Source organism: Homo sapiens, chromosome 13 (genome assembly GCF_000001405.40).
Source record: "Homo sapiens chromosome 13, GRCh38.p14 Primary Assembly".
Classification (NCBI taxonomy): Eukaryota; Metazoa; Chordata; class Mammalia; order Primates; family Hominidae; genus Homo; species Homo sapiens.
Genome location: NC_000013.11, coordinates 80144397 through 80167775, shown reverse-complemented (window position 1 = coordinate 80167775; position 23379 = coordinate 80144397). Strand labels below are relative to the sequence as shown.

The 23379-nt window shown below is 40.1% G+C and overlaps 1 long non-coding RNA gene across 1 annotated transcript in view, besides 2 other annotated features; it reads left to right on the top strand.

The window, feature by feature from the left end:
- The first annotated feature begins 1381 nt into the window (after positions 1-1381).
- Positions 1382-23379, top strand: part of LOC105370275 (uncharacterized) — a 44604-nt gene continuing 22606 nt past the window's right edge. The window contains exons 1-2 of the long non-coding RNA XR_942116.3: positions 1382-1462; positions 2370-2476. This is a non-coding gene — a long non-coding RNA (uncharacterized LOC105370275). The remainder of the gene's footprint in view (positions 1463-2369; positions 2477-23379) is intronic.
- Positions 15348-15642: an enhancer, noted in NCBI's record as "tiled region #9192; K562 Activating non-DNase unmatched - State 24:Quies". NCBI's record gives its function as "activates a minimal TATA promoter and a strong SV40 promoter by Sharpr-MPRA in K562 cells {active_cell/tissue: K562}" and the evidence as "EXISTENCE:reporter gene assay evidence [ECO:0000049][PMID:27701403]".
- Positions 20156-20259: a silencer, noted in NCBI's record as "fragment chr13:80721652-80721755 (GRCh37/hg19 assembly coordinates)". NCBI's record gives its function as "represses an EF-1alpha promoter that drives an FKBP-Casp9 reporter gene in an ReSE screen in phorbol 12-myristate 13-acetate-treated (for megakaryocytic differentiation) K562 erythroleukemia cells {active_cell/tissue: K562(+PMA)}" and the evidence as "EXISTENCE:reporter gene assay evidence [ECO:0000049][PMID:32094911]".

Sequence of the window (23379 nt, the reverse complement as noted above, 5' to 3'; positions counted from 1 at the left end):
TTCCCCTAGGAATTAATAGTTTAATGGGTAAGTCCAAGACATAAAAAGATTATTTCAATAAAATGTGGTGTTATGATAGAAGTATATACATGTTATTAAAGGAGCTCCTTATTCAACCCAGGGGCTCCAAGAAAGTTCTTGAATGAAAAGATGAAATCTGAGCTCACTCATTAAAGATGAATTAGTGGGGAGAATGGAGAGGGGTAGGAGAAAGGGTGTTTCAGGTCCAGAGGACCCAGTACATGAGCAAAGGCACAGAGACATGGAACCACCTGGTCTGGTTGAAGAATTTCAAGCAGTGCAATGTTGCTAGAATGCAAAGTTGCAGGTGGTGAGAGGTAGAAGCAAGACCGGGGAAGCAGTCAGGACCACATTATGGGGTGCTTTTATGTCTGTTAGGGAGCATGAACTTCTTTAGGTGATTGAGTGGCCCTGAAGGACTTAAGGAAGAGAATTGACATGATCACATACATGAACATACTAGGTATTTTTGAGTAATCTCTTGGCTGGCAAAAAGAAGGAGAGATTTGAAAGGTGGAAGGCCAGGATCTGGGATGGGATTCCAGAGGAGAAGTGATGGGACCTGCACTGGGCTATCATCATGTGAATGGAGGAGTCATAACCTATCAGGATTTGGTGTAGAAGTTATGGGAGCAATACAAATCTTTCCTGAGGTTCTTGTGAATTGTTGTTTATGAGTAGCAAAGGTTACCATGATAGCGATGCCAAAGCCTGTCTAGGTCTTCCTGTGGTTCATTTTTGCAGACCCAAGTTGAATTCTAGTGCTTTCTTCCTTTGCCTTGGATCCAGGGATTCTACATGCTTTCCTCTCCTTCAGTAACTTCCAGCATTCCCTTGCTCCTTTGGGGGAACTGTGGCATGGGTCTCAGGCTTCTCAGATATCTTCTTGCTTGCTACCAAAAACAAAAACAAAAACAAAAAAAAACACCTTTCCTTCATAGCACTTATGATGATTAGAATTAATTAATAATGCCATCACTGTTTGTTTAATGTCTCCTTCTACTAGTCACTATTATTGGTGGCAAACATCAAACAGCAACTTTGTTAAACTGGAGCATTAAAAGGTATAGGAGAGAGATAGATGAGATTGCCGAGAAATCAAGGAAAGCAACTTTGTTAAACTGGAGCATTAAAAGGTATAGGAGAGAGATAGATGAGATTGCCGAGAAATCAAGGAAGGGAAATTGGCAGAAAGCCCGAGGCTAAGCCGCTGCAAGATAAGCCAGACCACACCAGGGTTCGTGTCTGTTCAGAACCTCACCATTGAGACTGCTGAATTCAGAACTCTTTTAGTACCAGAATTCTTGAAAAGTTTCTATTGCTTCTGAGCTATTGTCATGCACTCTCAAAGCTCAAATTCCTTGAGTAGAGCATGTCTGGTCTTGGGTGCTGGGAGATGGGAAAAGAGTGATTATTTCCCCTTAATTTCCACAGTGGGAAGGTGGGAAGCATGGCTCTCTTCCTCTTCAACTCTTTGGGGCTTCCTGCCAAAAAGTGGAGGGTATTTAAATTCTGAGTTTGTGTCTCTCTATCTCTATATCTTTATCTACATACACTCATGCATATATATTACACACCTGCCATTAATAACAGTGACTAGGCTGGGCACAGTGGCTCATGCCTGTAATCCCAGCACTTTGGGAGGCCAAAGTGAGCAGATGGCTGAAGGCCAGGAGTTTGAGACCATCGTAGCCAACATGCAGAAACCCCGTCTCTACTAAAAATACAAAAATAGCTGGACATGGTGGTGCATGCCTGTAATCCCAGCTACGCGGGGGGCTTGAACCCGGGAGGCGGAGGCTGCAGTGATCTGAGATTGTGCCACTGCACTCCAGCTTGGGTAACACAGTGAGACTGTCTCAAAACAGAAAACAAACAAACAAACAAACAGAAAACCAGTGACTAGTTCCATGAGGGTAGAGAATGTCTCATTTTTGTTCACTGTTGTATCCTCAATGCCAGATGAGTTAACACCAGGCAAGGGCTGATAGTAAGCATTCAGCAAATATTTCTTGAATAAATGGGAGAATCAGTGAATGAATGTACTGTTTTAAAAAAGCATTTTATCTCTAATCACTATAGGATTTTAATAAATCAATATTATTTATAGTTAGAGTTCCTAACCTATAGTTCCTAAGTCCCTTCTGAGATAGTAACTGGAGATGCTCCCACCCTCTGCTTGCTTTATGGAAATTTTAAAGAACCCACTTCTGAACCTCGAATTTTAGCAAAGGTACCATACACCACTTAGTCCATACTTCCCCTTTTCTCTGACTGAAAATGAATCAAAGCAATGCCATCAGTACGCCTAAAGTCAACTGAACTTTTACCTTTCCTTGGATCTCCAGACTTGGCAAGATAGCTCTGGAAGATAGCTCCAGCTCAGGAAGAAGACCCTGCAGCCCATTTCCTTTCAAAAGGCAGAGATGAACATTTTCCCTGGCCGTCTTGAAATGTGAGTTGTCAGTAAGACCTATAGGCGTGGATATCCTACAACTTTAGAGCTATTTGGGATTTGAACCAGTTGTTTTCTCTAATCAGCAACAATATTGAAATTCTAGGAAAATATAATCATGTTTTCAAATAGATGATCTATTTTTGACTTTCTAATTGTTTTAAAGTGTCTGATGGGCCAAGCCATATAACAATGACATATAATTTTTTAAGAACATTACAAACTTAAAAATCATATTATTAAAGACTCACATTGTCATTTGATTTATGTTGCAAGTTAGAAGATTTCATTAACATAAAGTAACCAGTTTAATGCTAATAATCTGTCCAGAAATAACTCTTCTTCCATAGATTTTAGCCTGAAGGATTTTGAACATCTACACACACTTCAAGGATTCTACTGATGTCATCAGTTTCTTGATTAATATTGTCTCACTATGTGGGCTTGCTAGGTTTTTCTACAGAGGCTATATTTCGAAATTCCTTTAATTTTGGTTATTGGTAGTTTCTTGCTTGAACTGGGATTCATATTTCTCCCCGCTGAGAATAAAATTTGTTCTCAGAATAAAGCATATTTGACTCTTTCTAGCTGCCAAAATGTGAAGTCTTGTGGTTAGGTATTTTGGAAAACCGGCAGGTTTTGTTTACATACTGTGGTCTTTCTCCAAATTTATCCCACATCCCACACCCCACAAGTCTAGGACCCCTTCCAGCGTAATTGCTGTGGGACAAGTGCAAGGCAAAGGCTTCCGCAGTCACCAAATCCTTTCCATCTTTGAATCAGACACAGCAAGTACCAGAAGAGCTTCCCCTGCTTAAAAAAAAAAAAAAAGAAAAGAAAAGAAAAGGAAAGAAAATGCTGACCTATAGAAATACCTGAATCTAATTTGCTGTACAAATGGAAACCTTTTCTTTTTAGATTGGATGCAGAAAATGTATTTTCAATGTTTATAATTTAACAATTGCTCAAAGCCTTTCATATGAAAGCAATTTACTCATGTTGGGCCCAATTATCCTAACATGCTTAAAAATTAACCAGTATTTTTCATCTTTAACCTTCGTGCGTTAGTCTCCTTGGATAGGGCCTTTTTACCGACAGTGAATCTGAAATCTAATCACAGAGGTGCTTTATGGATTAAAGTGCTAGAAAATCCTTCTTGTCAGGGAAAGAATATCTTGGAAAGTGACACTGTTTCTGTATATTCTTCTTACAAGGATTAAAACTTTGGGGTTTGAACTAGATTCACCGATTCCATGTAATATTCAACCGGAAGAGATGTTGAATCATGAACCCACACTTATTTTCTGTTACCTTCATTTTGAAAGAAAGCAATGTGGCCCATCTACTGCACATATGTTAGCTAAATCTGGCACCAACAAGCAGTCTAGGGCCATCCACTCTGGCCATTTGTATGGCTTATTCAGTCAATTCACTCGAGAAATATTTATTGAGTGCTTACTCTGTGTCAGGCTCTATGCTAGATGTTGGGGAGAAAGTGATGAAAAAGCAAGATATGTTTCTGTCGAGGAGTTTATAATTCTGAGGGAGATAACATGGGCACAAAGAGTATTATAATTAACAAATGGCTAATACAATATGGCTATAAATACTATGTTGCAAAAAAGAATTCAGTCTTAGGAGGAGCTTGTGGCTGAGATAAAAGGCAGGAAGGAAGGCCTGCAAAAGAAGTGAGAGCTAAGGTGAAGCATGAATGGGTGATGAAGAGGAGATAGGTCAGATGAAGAGGAGTAGGTAGCACGTTTGGGGGAGGAAGTAGTAGCATGTTGGGAAGCCAATAAGTCACGTGTTTGAGGAACCAAACAGGTTTCATTTTGCCAGAAGGGTAAAGTGTAAGGTTGCATGTGATAAAAGATGTTGCTGAGGCTGGGCACGACGGCTCACACCTGTAATCCCAGCACTTTGGGAGGCCGAGGTGGGTGGATCACAAGGTCAGGAGTTTGAGATCAGCCTGGCCAACATGGTGAAACCCCATCTCTACTAAAAATACAAAAATTAGCCATGCGTGGTGGTGGACACCTATAGTCTCAGCTACTCGGGAGGCTGAGGCAGAAGAATCGCTTGGACCCAGAAGGCAGAGGTTGCAGTGAACCGAGATGGCACCACTGCACTCCAGCCTGGGTGACAGAGTGAGACTCTGTCTAAAAAAAAAAAAAAAGAAAAGATGTTGCTGAGAGATCAGCAGAGTCCTATTCACTAGGACCCTGCAAACTCTAAGAGAAAGCTTGGAGATTTTCCTGAAGGGAACTGAGAACCTTGAGAAGATTTTACACAGAGGACCAGCAGGAATTGATTGCATTTTTGGAATGATTATTTTGGCTGTACTGTGGGGACTAAATTGTATGTGGATTGAAGCTGGACCTTGACTGTCATAGAGAAGGACATTGGTTGGTCTGAATGATGGTGATGACCATGGAGATAAAGATAATTTGAACTACTCAAGTGAAAATCACTTGGGTGAATTTGTTGCAGTGACTGACTAGACATGGGAGAGATAGGAGTCAAAGATAAAGCTCAGGTTTAGCTTAGTGATTTTCCTACTGCTGCTGATTTAACACCACTGGCCCAACTTTCATGAATTCTCCCAGGTAATTAGTTTCATGAAACATTGTTGAGTGGGATTTTCTTCATCTCCAGCATTCTTGGGAGTATTCAAAATATCCAACACTTAGATACTATTATATTATGTTAAGCAGTAAATTATCAGAATGACAAAATAAAACACATAAACTATATAAAACAGGAACTAAGAAAATGGCATAAGTGGCCGGGCACTGTGGCTCACCCCTGTAATCCCAGCACTTTGGGAGGCCGAGGTGGGTGAATCATGAGGTCAGGAGTTCAAGACCAGCCTGGCCAACATGGTGAAACCCTGTCTCTACTAAAAATACAAAAATTAGCCGGGCATGGTGGCAGGCGCCTGTAATCCCAGCTACTTGGGAGGCTGAGGCAAGAGAATCGCTTGAACCCGGGAGGCAGCAGAGGTTGCAGCGAGGCAAGATCACATCGCTGCCCTCCAGGCTGGGCAACAGAGTGAGATTCTGTCTCAAAAAAGAAAAGGAAAGAAAGAAAGAAAGAGAGAGAGAGAGAGAAAGAAATAAAGAAAATGGCATAAGCACTGAAAAATTCTGTGACTAATCCTGTGAATACACTTACCTCATTTGCAAATATAGGCTTTCAAGCTAGAAAGCGACAGAGTAGAAGTCTGTGATCAGAATCCATGTTGGTTGCATCACCTCAGGGAGTTCAAATCGTGTAGGACCCTGTGGCACCATCCCTGCCCTGCCTTCCCTGGAAGGGGTAGCACTTCCAGGCCCACTCATAGCCATCTCTGCTCCAATCGGAGCAGCCCAGCTTTTGCTGTTTTATACAATGGGTTTCTATAGAATATTACACTTGACAAAAATAACAAAAAGAAAAAACTCACATGAAAACATTTAAAAATCACCATCCTTTACAACTATCTTCTGAAACTCTGAGAGTTATTAGCCATGGTCAAGCTGTTGCATTTCTCAAGACCCAGTTTCTCTATTGACAAAATAAGATTACAATTTTTCTTTCCTATGTCACAGGATTGTTTAGATGAGCAAATGAGTTTATTTGTGTTAAAGTACATTAAAAAATCAACGTTATTGAGGTATAAGTTGATATAGTTTGGATATTTGTCCCCGCCCAAATCTCATGTTGAATTGTAATCCCCAATGCTGGGTGGAAGTGGGGCCTGCTGGGAGGCATTTGGATCATCTGGGCAGATCCCTCATGGCTTGCTTCTGTCTTCGTGAGAGTGAGTTCTCATGAATTCTGGTCATTTAAAAGTGTGTGGCACTTCCCCCCACCATTCTCTTTCTCTCTCTCTTGCTTTCTCTGAGTTATGTGCCTGCTTCCCCTTTTGCCTTCCACCATGATTGAAAGCCTGCTAGAAGCCAAGCAGATGCCAGCAACCATGCTTCTTGTAAAGCCTGCAGAACTGTGAGCCAATTGCACCTCTTTTCTTTATAAATTACTGTCCCAGGTATTTCTTTATAGCAATGAAAGAATGGCCTAATACAAAGTTATGCCCAGTAAACTGAATCCATTTACAGAACACAATTTGATGAGTTCTGACAAGGTCTGCACCTGTGAAACCATTACCATAATTAAGTTATAGGATATTTTCTTCACTCCAAAAGATTCCTTGTACTCCGTTGCAGTTCATCCTTCCTTCTGCTCCTCTTCCCTTTACCCCCTTGAAATCACCAATCTTCTTTCTATCTGTATAGATTAGTTTACATTTTCTAGAATTTTATATAAATGAAATCATACCATATGTACTATTTGTGTCTGGCTCCTTTTATGCAGCATGATGATTTTTGAAATTTCTTTATTTGTTGTAACAGCGATACTTTTTAAATTGCTGAGTAGTATTCTATTATATGGATGTATATTTCACCCATTCACCTGTTGATGGACATTTGGATCATTTTCTACTTTTGGCTATTGTGAATATAGCTGCTGTGAATATTCATGTACATGTTTTTCTACAGACTTAAAGAGTTATTTGAACTGCAATATGGCATTTAAATAGAAGCTTTCATTATTCAAATGTTAAAATCATTCTGGCTTTCATGAGAAATTTCTGTCTCATGTAAGAGCAATATCTGTTTATTGATTTCTTGGGGACAATTATGGAGTTAATGCACAAATTCAGCATACTCTGAATGTTGTCAATATACAACCTCATTTCAAAATAATTTGCAATGTTTCTTATTATAGATAGGTGCAAATAAAACTTTTTATTTGAAATATAAAATTGCAAAGTTATACAAATTTTAAAAAATATAGAGAGCCCTTTGTAAAAAGGTTTTGATAAATATATAGGTTAATAATTCAGGCTACTATGATATTCCCTTGACACATGCACTGAAATCCCTTTAACTCCATGGGACTTGTGCCCATAAATTGAGAAAAGAATATATGCAGCAATTGTGTTAATTACAATAGAGTTATTGTTCAGATCAAAAAGCATCTCACTGGGGCTGTGCCTGGGGAGTCAGCATTGACCTCTTATTTGCTCTTTGACTATTGAACTTAAAGGAATCTCCATCTGCTTCCTACTTAATATTTTAGAAACTTCTTATGTTGCACTGTTGATCCCAAGGAAGTAGATATATATAAACTATAATATATAGCTAGTGACATACCAATGGTCAAAGAATCTGGTCCTCACCTCCTCCTGGAAGTTTTTCCAGATTGCCAAGAAATATAATTTTATTCTTTCTCCTTCCCTTATGTGAAAACAAGCTTTTTAACATTTTTGAAAAATCCCTTTACTGTCTAGAATATCTACTCTGCATTTTTTTTGTTTTTTACAATATCACACTTCACATGGTCTCTGGAAAACCACTGCATTTCATCAGTTTTACATCATTGTCCAATACCATTCCTGGATCTGTATTTATTATAAAATTTGTTTAATAAACATGGCACTAAGGAGGAGAGAGAAAATGTCAAAAATTCTGATCATGAAAATGGTACTGACCTGAAGATCCTCTCAAATACATTGGAAGACTCCATTCCCCCCCACCGACTGAGATTCCTGAATAAACTTTATTTTATTTTATTTAGACAAGGTCTCACTCTGTCACCCAGGTTGGAGGGCAGTGGCACAAGCTCACTGCAGCCTCGACCTCCCTAGCTCAGAGTATCCTCCTATCTTAGCCTTCCAAGTAGCTGGGATATAGGCCCAAGCCACTGCACCCAGCTAATTTTTGTATTTTTGTAGAGATGGGGTCTTGCCATGTTGCCCACGCTGGACTCTAACTCCTGGGTTCATGCAATCTGCCCACCTCAGCTTCCCAAAGTGCCGGGCCTACAGGCATGTGCCACTGTGCCCGGCCTCTGAACAAATATTAAAAATTGCTGTTTTAGTCATTGATATAGTATGATGCATGTTTAATTAGAAAAACAAAGCTCATGAAAAGTAGCATGTTTGGACTTCTCTCATTATCAAGTCTTCTAATCAATTATAACAAATATAGCGAATCTACTGGAGACTATGATTTGTCTCTTATCTGAGGCAAGTGAGAAAGGTGAGAAGGTGACAAAAACTGCAAACTCCTATTATGAAACTTAACACAATATATTACAATTCTTAAATATTGTCATACCGGAATATGATCTCTTTGAAGGCAATCACTGTGTCTTTTCATCAATATAATCTCATCACTCAACACCATTTCTGGATCTGTGTTTATTATACAATTTATTGAATGAAATAAACTGAGTATACCCCATAAACTTACTGTAGAATAATCTAGCTATGTAACTCTAATACATTATTGACAAAATTACTTCCAGACTTAGAGATGTCAACAATTAAAAATTTAAGTGTGCAGGCATCCATCCTATCTTCCAACTTGGCTGGCACTGATGCACAGGTGGTGAGACATTGCCAGGGCTGGCAGGACCACTCCATGGTAGCTTTTTAAGAGAACAGTTTCAGAGCATAACCAGAGGTCAAGTTCAGCAAGGTCCTTCCAAATGCAGCCAACCAGACAAAGAAAGACCCAGGATGAGCTAGAATGCCAGTCCAGCTGTAAGGGAAAACAGAAATGCCTAAGTTGGAAAGTGATAGGAAAAACAGAAGAATAGACAAGGGAATGTCAAAAGGAACATGACCTAAGTCAGATATGGTGTGTAAAGACATATGAAGGAAGAGAGAGTTTGATTTAGGATAAATCCTCTTTGATGTTGGTCTTCTATTATGGTACACATTTATGTATAGGTTCAGTGTTCCTGACTTTTAGGGGCTGAGCCTCAAATTCCATGGTTTTTTGTTTTTTTTTTTTCGGTGGAGTCTCGCTCTGTAGCCCAGGCTGAAGTGCAGTGGCGTGCTGCACTGCACTTCAACCTCTGCCTCCCGGGTTCAGGCGATTCTTCTGCCTCAGCCTCCCAAGTAGCTGGGATTACAGGCGCCCACCATCATGCCCGGCTAATTTTTGTATTTTTAGTAGAGATGGAGTTTCACCATGTTGGCCAGGTTGGTCTCTAACTCCCGACCTCAGGTAATCCGCCCGCCTCAGCCTCCGAAAGTACTGGGATTACAGGCATGAGCCACGGGACCCGGCCTCAAATTCCATCTTATGATGAAATTGTTGATGATTTTTAGATCTTGAGCTTAATGAAATTTGATGCAGTATTATTATAAAACTATCCACTGGGTTCCTAGAGACACAACTAGCTTGCTGGCTTTTTGGTGTGTTCTCGGCCTTCCTTCCTTCTTTCCTTCCTTCCTTCCTTCCTTCCTTCCTTCCTTCCTTCTTTCCTTTCCTTTTTCTCTTTTAGCTGGATGTCACTATATCCTGTACTGTTGGGTGCAAGTTCCAAATCTGCCCTTAGGTGTGTTTGTATTCTTCATGGAATCTATGCCCACATATGGTATATCCTAGAGCAAGTCCTTAGAGGGCTGCAGGCTTCTTCAGGCCTATTGTCAGCATAGTATAGCCCTGACTTTACACAGTGCATTATAACATATCTTTTCCTGGGTGTGCACTTTAGAGTCATAAGCACATGGAATTTCCTGAATGTCTCTCAAGGGCTTACAACGAGTGCAGGCAAATGTTGAGTTGGGAGACTTTCCCAGAACAATGTGAGAATACCCACAGTTGCTACAAACTGTGAAATAGCATAAAATGCTCCTTTTTATTAGTTACATATTGTAGTTATTGCACAGACACCTCATGAGATCTCAAACGTAAAGACTGAACTCACTATTTTCCCCATACACCCATTCTTTCTGTGTTTCTACCCTCTACTCAATATCAGTACCAGACCCCGAGTCATACAGATTAGCCAGTCTGATTTGCTTCATCTTCTTCTGTTTCCTCAGATAGAGTGAGTTGCTAAGTTCTGTCCCTGATATATTTGCATCTCCCACTTTTGCTTTCTTCCTCCCAACTGAAGCCCCTCATCACCTCCCACATGGACCATTGTAATGCTATGAGTCCCTGCTCAACCTCAGTTCCACTTAGCAGCAAATAATTGTACTACTGGCAGGGTAATCTTCCAAGAACACATGTTCAGATAATGCTGTCTCATATTTACAAAGTCTTTATAGCTTTGTATTGCTTAAAGAAATAAATTCCAACTCCATAGTTTGTTTTGTTTTTTTGAGACAGAGTTTCACTCTTGTTGCCCAGTCTGGAGTGCAGTGGTGCAATTTCAGCTCACTGCAATGTCTGCCTCCCAGGTTCAAGCAATTCTCCTGCCTCAGCCTCCCAAGTAGCTAGGATTACAGGCATGTGCCACCATGCCTGGTTAATTTTTGTATTTTTAATAGAGGGGGTTTCACCACATTGGTCAGGCTGGTCTTGAACTCCTGACCTCGGGTGATCCACCCACCTCGGCCTTCCAAAGTGCTGGGATTACAGGTGTGAGCCACTGCACCCGGCCGACAGCTGTTTTTAACCTATCTTTAAATCTTTTCCCCATAGGAGCCCTCAAACCAATTTTATCCTCCTCTGAGCTCATTTGACCTTTCATACCTTCATGTGCTGTTTATGCTCATCTTTCTGCAATGTTCTCCTCTTTAGATCTTGGTTCTTTGGGTTTTAGCTGGGAATTTGGGGCTCAGTATGTATTTAATGATTAGATAAAGGAGCAAATGAGCCTATTCTTTCCTCGTTGACTATTTATTTGTATAAGATGGAGAACCAGAAGCTAGGTGCCAACACAATCATGTTTTAGATTGTTGAATGATTTTGTCTAGGGGTTGCTGACTGTAGGATCCCTGAGTGCATGAAAGGAAAAGAGATGTCTTTGGTAAAACTTCTGGTCCTCCCACCCCCATCTTCATTTTTCTTTTCTTTTTTTTTAATTTTTTTTATTTTCTTTTTTATTATACTTTAAGTTTTAGGGTACATGTGCACATTGTGCAGGTTAGTTACATATGTATACATGTGCCATGCTGGTGCGCTGCACCCACTAACTCGTTATCTAGCATTAGGTATATCTCCCAGTGCTATCCCTCCCCCCTCCCCCGACCCCACAACAGTCCCCAGAGTGTGATATATCCCTTCCTGTGTCCATGTGATCTCATTGTTCAATTCCCACCTATGAGTGAGAATATGCGGTGTTTGGTTTTTTGTTCTTGCGATAGTTTACTGAGAATGATGATTTCCAATTTCATCCATGTCCCTACAAAGGACATGAACTCATCATTTTTTATGGCTGCATAGTATTCCATGGTGTACATATGCCACATTTTCTTAATCCAGTCTATCATTGTTGGACATTTGGGTTGGTTCCAAGTCTTTGCTATTGTGAATAATGCCGCAATAAACATACGTGTGCATGTGTCTTTATAGCAGCATGATTTATAGTCCTTTGGGTATATACCCAGTAATGGGATGGCTGGGTCAAATGGTATTTCTAGTTCTAGATCCCTGAGGAATCGCCACACAGACTTCCACAATGGTTGAACTAGTTTACAGTCCCACCAACAGTGTAAAAGTGTTCCTATTTCTCCACATCCTCTCCAGCACCTGTTGTTTCCTGACATTTTAATGCTCGCCATTCTAACTGGTGTGAGATGGTATCTCATTGTGGTTTTGATTTGCATTTCTCTGATGGCCAGTGATGATGAGCATTTTTTCATGTGTTTTTTGGCTGCATAAATGTCTTCTTTTGAGAAGTGTCTGTTCATGTCCTTTGCCCACTTTTTGATGGGGTTGTTTGTTTTTTTCTTGTAGATTTGTTTGAGTTCATTGTAGATTCTGGATATTAGCCCTTTGTCAGATGAGTAGGTTGTGAAAATTTTCTCCCATTTTGTAGGTTGCCTGTTCACTCTGATGGTAGTTTCTTTTGCTGTGCAGAAGCTCTTTAGTTTAATTAGATCCCATTTGTCAATTTTGTCTTTTGTTGCCATTGCTTTTGGTGTTTTGGACATGAAGTCCTTGCCCATGCCTATGTCCTGAATGGTAATGCCTAGGTTTTCTTCAAGGGTTTTTATGGTTTTAGGTCTAACGTTTAAGTCTTTAATCCATCTTGAATTGATTTTTGTATAAGGTGTAAGGAAGGGATCCAGTTTCAGCTTTCTATATATGGCTAGCCAGTTTTCCCAGCACCATTTATTAAATAGGGAATCCTTTCCCCATTGCTTGTTTTTCTCAGGTTTGTCAAAGATCAGATAGTTGTAGATATGCGGCGTTATTTCTGAGGGCTCTGTTCTGTTCCATTGATCTATATCTCTGTTTTGGTACCAGTACCATGCTGTTTTGGTTACTGTAGCCTTGTAGTATAGTTTGAAGTCAGGTAGTGTGATGCCTCCAGCTTTGTTCTTTTGGCTTAGGATTGCCTTGGCGATGCAGGCTCTTTTTTGGTTCCATATGAACTTTAAAGTAGTTTTTTCCAATTCTGTGAAGAAAGTCATTGGTAGCTTGATGGGGATGGCATTGAATCTGTAAATTACCTTGGGCAGTATGGCCATTTTCATGATATTGATTCTTCCTACCCATGAGCATGGAATGTTCTTCCATTTGTTTGTATCCTCTTTTATTTCCTTGAGCAGTGGTTCGTAGTTCTCCTTGAAGAGGTCCTTCACATCCCTTGTAAGTTGGATTCCTAGGTATTTTATTCTCTTTGAAGCAATTGTGAATGGGAGTTCACTCATTATTTGGCTCTCTGCCTGTTGTTGGTGTATAAGAATGCTTGTGATTTTTGTACATTGATTTTGTATCCTGAGACTTTGCTGAAGTTGCTTATCAGCTTAAGGAGATTTTGGGCTGAGACAATGGGGTTTTCTAGATATACAATCATGTCGTCTGCAAACAGGGACAATTTGACTTCCTCTTTTCCTAATTGAATACCCTTTATTTCCTTCTCCTGCCTAATTGCCCTGGCCAGAACTTCCAACACTATGTTGAATAGGAGTGGTGAGAGAGGGCATCCCTGTCTTGTGCCAGTTTTCAAGGGGAATGCTTCCAGTTTTTGCCCATTCAGTATGATATTGGCTGTGGGTTTGTCATAGATAGCTCTTATTATTTTGAAATACGTCCCATCAATACCTAATTTATTGAGAGTTTTTAGCATGAAGGGTTGTTGAATTTTGTCAAAGGCTTTTTCTGCATCTATTGAGATAATCATGTGGTTTTTGTCTTTGGCTCTGTTTATATGCCGGATTACATTTATTGATTTGCGTATATTGAACCAGCCTTGCATCCCAAGGATGAAGCCCACTTGATCATGGTGGATAAGCTTTTCGATGTGCTGCTGGATTCGGTTTGCCAGTATTTTACTGAGGATTTTTGCATCAATGTTCATCAAGGATATTGGTCTAAAATTCTCTTTTTTGGTTGTGTCTCTGCCTGGCTTTGGTATCAGGATGATGCTGGCCTCATAAAATGAGTTAGGGAGGATTCCCTCTTTTTCTGTTGACTGGAATAGTTTCAGAAGGAATGGTACCAGTTCCTCCTCGTACCTCTGGAAGAATTTGGCTGTGAATCCATCTGGTCCTGGACTATTTTTGGTTGGTAAGCTATTGATTATTGCGACAATTTCAGAGCCTGTTATTGGTCTATTCAGAGACTCAACTTCTTCCTGGTTTAGTCTTGGGAGGGTGTATGTGTCGAGGAATTCATCCATTTCTTCTAGATTTTCTATGAAATTCTGGGTTGAAAATTCTTTAAGAATGTTGAATATTGGCCCCCACTCTCTTCTGGCTTGTAGGGTTTCTGCAGAGAGATCCGCTGTTAGTCTGATGGGCTTCCCTTTGAGGGTAACCCGACCTTTCTCTCTGGCTGCCCTTAACATTTTTTCCTTCATTTCAACTTTGGTGAATCTGACAATTATGTGTCTTGGAGTTGCTCTTCTCGAGGAGTATCTTTGTGGCGTTCTCTGTATTTCCTGAATCTGAACGTTGGCCTGCCTTGCTAGATTGGGGAAGTTCTCCTGGATAATATCCTGCAGAGTGTTTTCCAACTTGGTTCCATTCTCCCCATCACTTTCAGGTACACCAATCAGACGTAGATTTGGTCTTTTCACATAGTCCCATATTTCTTGGAGGCTTTGCTCATTTCTTTTTATTCTTTTTTCTCTAAACTTCCCTTCTCGCTTCATTTCATTCATTTCATCTTCCATTGCTGATAACCTTTCTTCCAGTTGATCGCATCGGCTCCTGAGGCTTCTGCATTCTTCACGTAGTTCTGGAGCCTTGGCTTTCAGCTCCATCAGCTCCTTTAAGCACTTCTCTGTATTGGTTATTCTAGTTATACATTCTTCTAAATTTTTTTCAAAGTTTTCAACTTCTTTGCCTTTGGTTTGAATGTCCTCCTGTAGCTCAGAGTAATTTGATCGTCTGAAGACTTCTTTTCTCAGCTCGTCAAAGTCATTCTCCATCCAGCTTTGTTCCGTTGCTGGTGAGGAACTGCGTTCCTTTGGAGGAGGAGAGGCGCTCTGCTTTTTAGAGTTTCCAGTTTTTCTGTTCTGTTTTTTCCCCATCTTTGTGGTTTTATCTACTTTTGGTCTTTGAGGATGGTGATGTACAGATGGGTTTTTGGTGTGGATGTCCTTTCTGCTTGTTAGTTTTCCTTCTAACAGACAGGACCCTCAGCTGCAGGTCTGTTGGAATACCCTGCCGTGTGACGTGTCAGTGTGCCCCTGCTGGGGGGTGCCTCCCAGTTCGGCTGCTCTGGGGTCAGGGGTCAGGGACCCACTTGAGGACGCAGTCTGCCCATTCTCAGATCTCCAGCTGCGTGCTGGGAGAACCACTGCTCTCTTCAAAGCTGTCAGACAGGGACATTTAAGTCTGCAGAGGTTACTGCTGTCTTTTTGTTTGTCTGTGCCCTGCCCCCAGAGGTGGAGCCTACAGAGGCAGGCAGGCCTCCTTGAGCTGTGGTGGGCTCCACCCAGTTGGAGCTTCCTGGCTGCTTTGTTTACCTAAGCAAGCCTGGGCAATGGAAGGCGCCCCTCCCCCAGCCTCGCTGCCGCCTTGCAGTTTGATCTCAGACTGCTGTGCTAGCCATCAGTGAGACTCCGTGGGCATAGAACCCTCCGAGCCAGGTGCGGGATATAATCTCGTGGTGCGCCGTTTTTTAAGGCGGTCCGAAAAGCGCAATATTCGGGTGGGAGTGACCCGATTTTCCAGGTGCGTCCGTCACCCCTTTCTTTGACTCGGAAAGGGAACTCCCTGACCCCTTGCGCTTCCTGAGTGAGGCAATGCCTCGCCCTGCTTTGGCTCGCGCACGGTGCGCGCACCCACTGACCTGCGCCCACTGTCTGGCACTCCCTAGTGAGATGAACCTGGTACCTCAGATGGAAATGCAGAAGTCACCCATCTTCTGCGTCGCTCACGTTGGGAGCTGTAGACCAGAGCTGTTCCTATTCGGCCATCTTGGCTCCTCCCCCCCATTTTTCTCCTTCTTCCAAATTAATAGCGTTTTAGCTAGACACAGGGATGCCCAGCTAAATACTGTATTTCCCAGCTTCCCTTGAAGCTAGAAATGGCCATATGACTAAGTTCTGGACAATGCTTTGTAAATAAAATTAATGGGTATCATTTGTGAGATTTGTCCTTAAAATAACTGTTTGTGTACTTCTCTGGTTTCTTCTCCTTTTCCAGATGCTTAGAATGAGACTGAAATGCCATCTTAGGTCTACAAGTAGGGGCCATAAGTTAAAGAAGGCAGAGATGCCACTAGCCTTAGAGTGTCCACTTAACTCTAGACTTTTATACCACTGCACTTTGAGGTTTTCAATTATAGCACCTTAGCCTGTACCCTACCCACTCCCTTTCTTTCTTAAAACAAAATGAAACAAAAATAAATTTTGTTCAGGATAATTACATACTCAATGAAAATTTATTATCTCCTCAGACCCTTTTGCCATATCAGGTGGCCATAGGATCCATTTCAGGCCATGAGATATGACTGGAATATTCCTAGGAGGACCTTCCAAGAAATCTATCATTTTCATAATTAAAAAAAATAGACTGGACTGGTGTAAGTCATTTTGTTTCTTTTTTTTTTCTGCCTAGGAACCATTTATGATGTCATTGCTAAGTTATGCCTTCCCTATTGAAAATCTACACCTCACAATGACTAAAATACTATCAGATTTTGTTTCTACCTAGGACATTCCAAGTCATCAATCTAATGAATGGTACACATTGAGCTACAGCATTGATTTATATGTTTGAATTAGACAAGGCTTTACTCCATAGAACAGCCCTGGACTGACTACCTTAGGATTTCTAAATACCCAAGGAAACAAACAAAACAAAACAAAACAAAACAAAACCATCTTTTATTTTTTATACTCTGCTATATTCCCACTGTCTGGCTTATATAATAAATGTTCAAGAAAATCTGCTGAATAAGTAAATAAATTAATACCATTATAGACTATTTTAACTTTTCAACTCCTTGGGAGGAGTTAATTAGTATAAATTAACATAGCTGGGAATTGTTTTATGATTGACAGACCAAATCCTTTAACATTCATTCTATGATATAATTGAAATACATTTGGAGTTCCTATATGAAAACATTCTGCTACGCACTACGAGACACAGAAGTAAATACATAGGCAAGCATAGGCTCTATTGAGGTTAGAATTAAATAAAAAATTTGTGTGATGCTTTAATGTAATATCTGCTTTATTTTAGTGGACTGGAAAGAAACTTTGAATATCTCTGTGTTATGCCTGTAGTTCTCTGATGGCTATTTGGGTGAAAGAAACCATATACGAATTATCTAAGTTTTAAGATATATTCGTTGATATTACAGAAAGATGAAGATTACCAAGCATTTGTTGAGTTTCTGTTTCACTGGTGCAGTTGGTACCAGGCAGAAGGCTTAGTTGTACAGTCAGTGAGAGGGATTTTTTCTCCTGCCTTGCATTTCACTACCACCGATGAAGGGTATTGCTGATATTAAATATTCAGACAGATCTAATCCAATCACCACTGAAGAACTTTACTAGCAGATAGAGAGCAGTTTACAAGATATTTAAGAATCCAGTAATATGGTTTCTCAAAAAACTACCACACAAATAGTTGTTAGCAGAAAACTGAATACAAAGAATAATTCCAGGAATCGTGGAGGCTGAAAGATATAATTTAAGCCTTAAACTGAAATACATCATTTATTAGACCTCATTCTTTGATCTTTAAACCCAAAACTCTGCGTTCATTGAGATATTCCAGGAATATCTTAACCACAAATTCAAAAGTGTTTTGTCAATATTTTATCATTACAGTTCATAAGAGCCCTTTTGTGGAAAGGAACAAGATTTGTAATCATCCCTATTTGGCAGTTGTGGCAACACCAAGGGAAAGTCATAGGGAGCTGGCCTTGGTCTCTAGGATACAACAGTTGTATTTACTCTAATTGTAGCTGCCCAATCTGAGAAGTTTGCATCAAACTGATGAGCGCTTTCTTCTCAGCATACTAAGCAGTATGCTGAGTTTTAATAGGATCTGGATCGGGTCTAGTGAATACATGGCATTGCAGATGGACTCTGGAGAGCTTGTGATTAGAAAAGTTCTCTGAAATTCCTGTCGCCTGTAACAGAAAGATGGTGAGAATAGAAACCTATGGACATTGAAAAAAAAAAAAAAAAAAAGAAAAAACCTTCTAACTAACTATCCTTTAAGGCCAACCCAAACCACCTCCTCTATGGAGCCTTGCCACATTCCCTCAATCATTTATAATCCACCCTTCCTTTTACTCTCTATAGCATTTGGTTTAGTTTTGGATTTTTTTTTCAAATCCCTTCCTTTAAAACATTATTTTGTTTTAATGGACTTATGGTGACTTATGTAAACATTTTCATTTCTTATACAATAGTCATTTTAATTCTAACCTCAATAGAGCCTATGCTTGCCTACGTATTTACTTCTCTCTCTGTCTTTTGTAGTGCTTAGTAGAATGTTTTCAGATAGGAACTCCAAATGTATTTCAATTATATCATAGAATGAATACTTTGTTTTATATGTAAATAGATGTGCTATCATTCAGGTTTTGTTATTCCATTTATAAAGCACAGAGTAGAGGTAGTGTAGTTCTTAAGGGTCCTAGGATTTTCAGAATATTAAATGAGCATTGGCTTCAACTTAAAGTCACTAGCTGTATTAGCCCCTAACAAGAAAATTGGTCTGACCTTTGAAGCTTTGAAGTCAGCCATTGTCTTCTCCTCTCTAGCTACAAAGTCCTAGATGGCATCTTTACCAATATAAGGCTGCTTCATCTTCATTGAAAATCTGTTGTTTAGTGTAGCCACCTTAATCAATGATCTTAGCTAGATCTGTTGGGTAACTTGCTGCAGCTTCTTTGTCAGCTTTGAATTGAAGAGAATTAGGGCCTTGCTCTGGAGTAGGCTTTGACTTAAGGGATGTTGTGGCTCCTTTCATCTATGCAGACCACTATAATTTTCTCCATACAAGTTGAGTATCCCTTATTTGGAATCCATGGGATCAGAAGTATTTTGGATTTCAGAGTTTTTCAGATTTTGGAATATTTGCATCATACTTATTGGTTGAACATCCCAAATTCAAAAATCTGAGATCTCAAATGCTCCAGTGAGCACTTCCTTTGAGCATCATGTTGGCACTCAAAAATTTTCAGATTTTAGAACATTTCACATTTTGAATGTTTGGATTTGAGATGCTCAACCTCTGTCAGCAATAAGACTATTTCACTCTCTTATCTTTAATGTGTTCACTGGAGTAGAACTTTTAATTTCCTTCAAGAACTTTGCCTTTGGCTTCACAACTTGGCTAACTGTTTGGTGCAAGAGCGCTAGCTTTCAATGTAGCTCAGCTTTCGACATGCCTTCCTCACTAAGCTTAATCATTTCTAGCTTTTGATTTAAGCTGAGAAATGCACAACTCTTCCTTTCACTTGAACACTTAGAGGTCATTAAGGGTTATTAATTGGACTGATTTTAATATTGTTGTTGTTTCAGGGATTAGGGAGGCCCAAGCAGAGGGAGAGAGATGAGGAAATGCCTACTTGGTGGAATAGTCAGCACACACACATTTATCGATTAAGCTTGCCATCTTCTATGGGTATGAGTCATGACACCCCAAAACAATTACAACAGTAACACCAAACATCACTGATCACAGATTACCGTAACAGATATAAAAATAATGACAACATTGGGAATATTGTGCGACTTACCAAAATGTGAGGCAGAGACACAAGGTGAACATGTGCATGTGGAAAAATGGCATCAATACACTTGCTCAATCCAGGACTGCCACCAATCCTCATTTGTAAAAAAATATCTGTGAAGTGCAATAAAACCAGGTATGCCTGCACATATGCTCAGATAGTTTAGACAAAGCCATGTGTCTGTTCAACCATGATTAAATGTCTAATAGGTTTTTGAAGCATTGTTCTGGCCTGGCTGTTTAATGAAGAAGAAGACTTGGTCTCTGTCCTCAAAAGAGTGTATAGTTTAGTGGAGGGAAAAAGAAAAGGGACATCACAATACATGAGATTAGAGGTAGGAATCAGCAGAGTGGTAGCACAGTCATTTAATCTCTGGAGTCGCAGAAAGATAAATTCTGCCTCATCTCACTTATAGCTGTATGTGTAATATACAAAAGTCAAACTTATAGGAACAGAAGTAGAAGGCAGTTACCAGAGGCTGCGGGTTGGGAGGAAGAGGGATGTTGGTTGAAAGACACAAAATTTAGTTAGGTGGAATAATTTCAAGAGATCGAGTATATGTTGATATGGTTTGGCTCTGTGTCCCCACCCAAATCTCATCTCAAACTGTAATCCCCATGTGTCAAGGGAGGGATCTGTAATCCCCCTGTGTCAAGTGTAGGAGGTGACTGGATCATGAGGGCGGTTTCCCCCATGCTATTCTAGTACTAGTGAGTGAGTTCTCACAGGATCCGATGGTTTTATAAGGCAGTTTTCCCTGCTCCTTCATTCTACTCTCTCCTGCCACTATTTGAAGAAGGTCCTTGCTTCCTCTTCACCTTCTGCCATGACTGTAAGTTTCCTGAGGCCTCTCCAGCTATGTGGAACTGTGAGTCAGTTAAACCTCTTTTCTTTATAAATTACCCAGTCTCAGATATTTCTTTATAGCAGCATGAAAACAGACTAATACATATGTCGTGGTGGCTATAGTCAATTACGATACATGGTATAATTGAAAATTGCTAAGAGAGCAGATTTTCAGTGTTCTCACTATACACAAAAAATAAGTTTGTAGGAGCTGGGCACGGTGGCTCACACCTATAATCCCAGCACTTTGGGAGGCTGAGGCGGGCGGATCATGAGGTCAGCAAATCGAGACCATCCTGGCTAACACAGTGAAACCCCATCTCTACTAAAAATACAACAAATTAGCTGGGCATGGTGGTGGGTGCCTGTAGTCCCAGCTACTTGGGAGGCTGAGGCAGGAGAATGGTGTGAACCTGGGAGGTGGAGTTTGCAGTGAGCTGAGACTGCGCCACTGCACTCCAGCCTGGGCAACAGAGTGATACTCCATCTCAAAAAAAAAAAAAAAAAAAAAAAATTTAAAAAAAAGTTTGTAAGGCAATGCATATGTTAAATAGCTTGATTTGGTCATTCATAATGCATACATTTACCAAAACATGTTTTACACCATAACTGTATACATTTTTTTATTTGTCAATTAAAAAAATAAGTTTAAAAAATCAAAATAAAAGTTTTCCAGGAGAGGTGAGATTTGAAGTAGTTTTCATCATGTGAATGTGATTTTGAGAGGCAAGGAGGTTTGGGGCAGGGGAGCAGGGAAGACATAGGACCTTAAATGAATTTGCTGACCTTTGGGGAATTGTTTGGCACTGAAAATGTTTCTGTCCTCAAGAAGGCAGGAAGAGGAAAACTTCAACTGCATTCTGACCGATTTGTACCTACTCTGATTTAGTTATCTTCTCTTTCTCTCTACAGTGAAGCCCAGCAGGTTGTAGCTGTATAATATAATTTATACAGCACATATTTATATCACATTGTATAGTTATTTAAGTGCATTTTAAATCGCCCTTGTCTGATTTTTACAACACCCCTGTGAGTGAGATGGGTGAAGATATTATTTGTTGAAATTATTAAGAGCATGGGCTTTGAAGTCCAACAGGCCTGGCTTCAAATTCTTGCAAGTTTGGGCCAGTTATTTAATTTCTCTGAGACTTGGTTTTTTCTTCTATTTTCCTCTCACATGCCTGTAATGTCACACTTTGCTCTACTGATCAGATCTCTGTAGTGGATCTGACATTCCATTTTACTTGGGAATACAATCTTTGCCAATTTCAGAAGAAGCAGAGAACAGAGATTCAGAGAAGGAGCTTTGCAGTCTTATTGTTTGGGTTCAAATTGTGGCTGTATTCCTTTTCACATAGGTCAGGACCTCTGCTCGTCTTTGGAAGGCAACTTATTGACATCTGGAGACCCAGTTTCCCTCCTGCTTCTCTCTTCTACCCTAGACCACAGTACCCAAGCTTAGGCAGAGATTCCTTCCATAATTCACTGTAGCAAGAGCTGAGACATTGTTATAATATTCATACAATCACTAAAGGCCTGAGATAAACAGAAAACTTAACACTCAATGCTAGCTTCAGTTGCTCCTAGAATCCACAGTCCTCAGACCCCACAGAGGTCCTCTTTTGGGCATTCTTCTCGGTCCACTGTTACGTGGAAGGGGTCAGTACTCCCCAGGATTGACACTTGTGCCTGGCTCTGTACCAGAGAAGCCATCTCATTACAAGTTGGTAGAAGTGGGGAAGTAGTTTTCTCTCACTCTCAGCTAACACCTGTTATTAGAGGTTACCCTCCCCATCAGGAATTCACTCTTCCCAGGATGATTGACAGAGGGCATGCTAATTTCTTTAGGAGGAAACCTTCACCCCTACCAGAATCCCATGCAGCCGTGCAGTACTCTCAACAAGCTAAAATTCTGGCTGGACTCCCAAAAAGCAAAAATTTTGGCTAGGCTACAAACTGCTATTTTTAAGTATTCCACACTTATTTAATAGGGACTTTTTTTTTAATTAATAAAAAGACTAAGTATCTTGTTAAGTTCAAAGGAGGAAATTAATATATAGTTTAAATATAAAATAATATTCTTATGTATTTGACATTATAGGCAAGAAACTTAAAATACCTTCTCACTCATGATTGACATCTGTTTTGTCAGGAGCAAGAAAATCTCCTTCATTGGTCCTGGAAGGAACTGCATAACGTGATGAAACCTTTTTCTATTTGTTTTATTGATGGTTTAGCCCACCTTAAAAATTGGTGCTCCAGCTAGCTACCCAAGGGCCCAGTATCCTAAATATAGCACTAAATTTATCCTCAGGAAGTCACCTGAACTTCAGTTCATAATATATATCTGAGAAAAATTTGAGAGTATGATTTTTTAAATCTGTCTTATTCAGTTTTGAATAATGTTGTACAAGGCACATGAATTGTCCAGTTCAGGTTGGTTTTCAGTAGGTACAAATCTCAGCATCTACAACCTAAACATGAATTGAAGATACCATCTCTGTACCTACTTTGTACTCTTTTAGGCCTTAGCACCTAGTCTTTTTTGGAGAATAGCTTAATAAGAAAACACACACACACACACACACACACACACACCCTGCCAAAATAAACACTAATGAGTTTCAGGTATACCATAGTCAGTCTGTATTTAGAAAAGAGACTTCTCTACTGAAAAAGAAATGTCTTCCAGAATGAGGACATCTTTTTACACTAAATTCAGAACAAGCCAGCCCTTTTGAGTTCTCTCAGCTCCTCCAGAGTCCACTCCCTCACCTTCCTTCAGAGGTGCCACTAGCCTGCCTTTTTGATCAAAGACTTTAGTCCCCAGTGAAGGTTACCAAAACACTATGTTACTTACCTTGAATTTCTTATAAAGGAGATTGTGCT